The 2,921-nt window shown below is 44.2% G+C and overlaps 1 annotated feature.

The window, feature by feature from the left end:
• Positions 834-1,393: an enhancer, noted in NCBI's record as "H3K27ac-H3K4me1 hESC enhancer chr5:130068063-130068622 (GRCh37/hg19 assembly coordinates)". NCBI's record gives its function as "activates a minimal SCP1, AML or CMV promoter by ChIP-STARR-seq in naive H9 embryonic stem cells {active_cell/tissue: H9 hESC(naive)}" and the evidence as "EXISTENCE:reporter gene assay evidence [ECO:0000049][PMID:30033119]".

Consider the following 2,921-nt stretch of genomic DNA (forward strand, 5'->3'; position numbering starts at 1 on the left):
TTGAGGAGCAAGATCAGAGGCTTCATCTTGCAGAGGGGAAATAGACTCAAATAATCCAACCAGTCACTAAACAAATAAACAAGTAAACAACAGTAACAACCTTCACAGAAGAAAGAGGTGGACCAGTAGCAACCAACCAGAGTTGCTACAATATATCATCAAAAATGTCCAATTTTCGACAAAAATTATGATACATGCAAAGAAACAGGAAAATGTGACCACTACACGGGGAAAATAGCAAGCAATGGAAACTGTCTATGACAGCAACGCAATCACAGATTTAATTGACAAAGACTTCAAAGTAGCCATTATAAATGTGTTCAAAGACCTAAAGGAAGTCAAGATTTAAAAAGTAAAGAAATATATGAAGACAATGCCTGACCAAATAGATAATGTCAATATAGAGACAGAAATTATAAAAAGAACCAAATGGAAATTTTGGCGATGAAAAATACAATAACTGAAATGAAAAATTCACTAGAGGGACTCAACAGTAGACTTGAACTGGTAGAAGAATTAGCAAACTTCAAGATAGATTAGTAAAGATTCTGTAATCCAGGGGAGGAGCCAAGATGGCCAAATAGGAACAGCTCCGGTCTACAGCTCCCAGCGTGAGCAATGCAGAAGACAGGTGATTTCTGCATTTCCATCTGAGGTACCGGCTGCATCTCACTAGGGAGTGCCAGACAGTGGGTGCAGGACAGTGGGTGCGCGCACCGTGTGCAAGCCAAAGCAGGGCGAGGCATTGCCTCACCTGGGAAGCGCAAGGGGCCAGGGAGTTCCCTTTCCGAGTCAAAGAAAGGGGTGACTGACACACCTGGAAAATCGGGTCACTCCCACCCGAATATTGCGCTTTTCAGACCGGCTTAAAAAACGGCGCACCACGAGACTATATCCCACACCTGGCTCGGAGGGTCCTACACCCACGGAATCTCGCTGATTGCTAGCACAGCAGTCTGAGATCAAACTGCAAGGCGGCAGCCAGGCTGGGGGAGGGGCGCCCGCCATTGCCCAGGCTTGCTTAGGTAAACAAAGCAGGCAGGAAGCTCGAACTGGGTGGAGCCCACCACAGCTCAAGGAGGCCTGCCTGCCACTGTAGGCCCCACCTCTGGGGGCAGGTCACAGACAAACAAAAAGACAGCAGTAACCTCTGCAGACTTAAATGTCCCTGTCTGACAGCTTTGAAGAGAGCAGTGGTTCTCCCAGCACGCAGCTGGAGATCTGAGAACTGGCAGATTGCCTCCTCAAGTGGGTCCCTGACCCCTGACCCCCGAGCAGCCTAACTGGGAGGCACCCCCCAGCAGGGGCACACTGACACCTCACACGGCAGGGTACTCCAACAGACCTGCAGCTGAGGGTGCTGTCTGTTAGAAGGAAAACTAACAAAGAGAAAGGACATCCACACCGAAAACCCATCTGTACATCACGATCATCAAAGACCAAAAGTAGATAAAACCACAAAGATGGGGAAAAAACAGAGCAGAAAAACTGGAAACTCTAAAACGCAGAGCATCTCTCCTCCTCCAAAGGAACGCAGTTCTTCACCAGCAACGGAAGAAAGCTGGATGGAGAATGACTTTGAAGAGCTGAGAGAAGAAGGCTTCAGACGATCAAATTACTCTGAGCTATGGGAGGACATTCAAACCAAAGGCAAAGAAGTTGAAAACTTTGAAAACAATTTAGAAGAATGTATAACTAGAATAACCAATACAGAGAAGTGCTTAAAGGAGCTGATGGAGCTGAAAACCAAGGCTCGAGAACTACGTGAAGAATGAAGAAGCCTCAGGAGCCGATGCGATCAACTGGAAGAAAGGGTATCAGCAATGGAAGATGAAATGAATGAAATGAAGCGAGAAGGGAAGTTTAGAGAAAAAAGAATAAAAAGAAATGAGCAAAGCCTCCAAGAAATATGGGACTATGTGAAAAGACCAAATCTATGTCTGATTGGTGTACCTGAAAGTGATGGGGAGAATGGAACCAAGTTGGAAAACACTCTGCAGGATATTATCCAGGAGAACTTCCCCAATCTAGCAAGGCAGGCCAACGTTCACATTCAGGAAATACAGAGAACACCACAAAGATACTCCTCGAGAAGAGCAACTCCAAGACACATAATTGTCAGATTCACCAAAGTTGAAATGAAGGAAAAAATGTTAAGGGCAGCCAGAGAGAAAGGTCAGGTTACCCTCAAAGGGAAGCCCATCAGACTAACAGCGGATCTCTCGGCAGAAACCCTACAAGCCAGAAGAGAGTGGGGGCCAATATTCAACATTCTTAAAGAAAAGAATTTTCAACCCAGAATTTCATATCCAGCCAAACTAAGCTTCATAAGTGAAGGAGAAATAAAATACTTTACAGACAAGCAAATGCTGAGAGATTTTGTCACCACCAGGCCTGCCCTAAAAGAGCTCCTGAAGGAAGCGCTAAACATGGAAAGGAACAACCGGTACCAGCCGCTGCAAAATCATGACAAAATGTAAAGACCATCGAGACTAGGAAGAAACTGCATCAACTAATGAGCAAAATCACCAGCTAACATCATAATGACAGGATCAAATTCACACATAACAATATTAACTTTAAATGTCAATGGACTAAATTCTCCAATTAAAAGACACAGACTGGCAAATTGGATAAAGAGTCAAGATCCATCAGTGTGCTGTATTCAGGAAACCCATCTCACGTGCAGAGACACACATAGGCTCAAAATAAAAGGATGGAGGAAGATCTACCAAGCAAATGGAAAACAAAAAAAGGCAGGGGTTGCAATCCTAGTCTCTGATAAAACAGACTTTAAACCAACAAAGATCAAAAGAGACAAAAAAGGCCATTACATAATGGTAAAGGGATCAATTCAACAAGAAGAGCTAACTATAATAAATATATATGCACCCAATACAGGAGCACCCAGATTCATAAAG

This window comes from Homo sapiens, chromosome 5 (assembly GCF_000001405.40).
Source record: "Homo sapiens chromosome 5, GRCh38.p14 Primary Assembly".
NCBI lineage: Eukaryota > Metazoa > Chordata > Mammalia > Primates > Hominidae > Homo > Homo sapiens.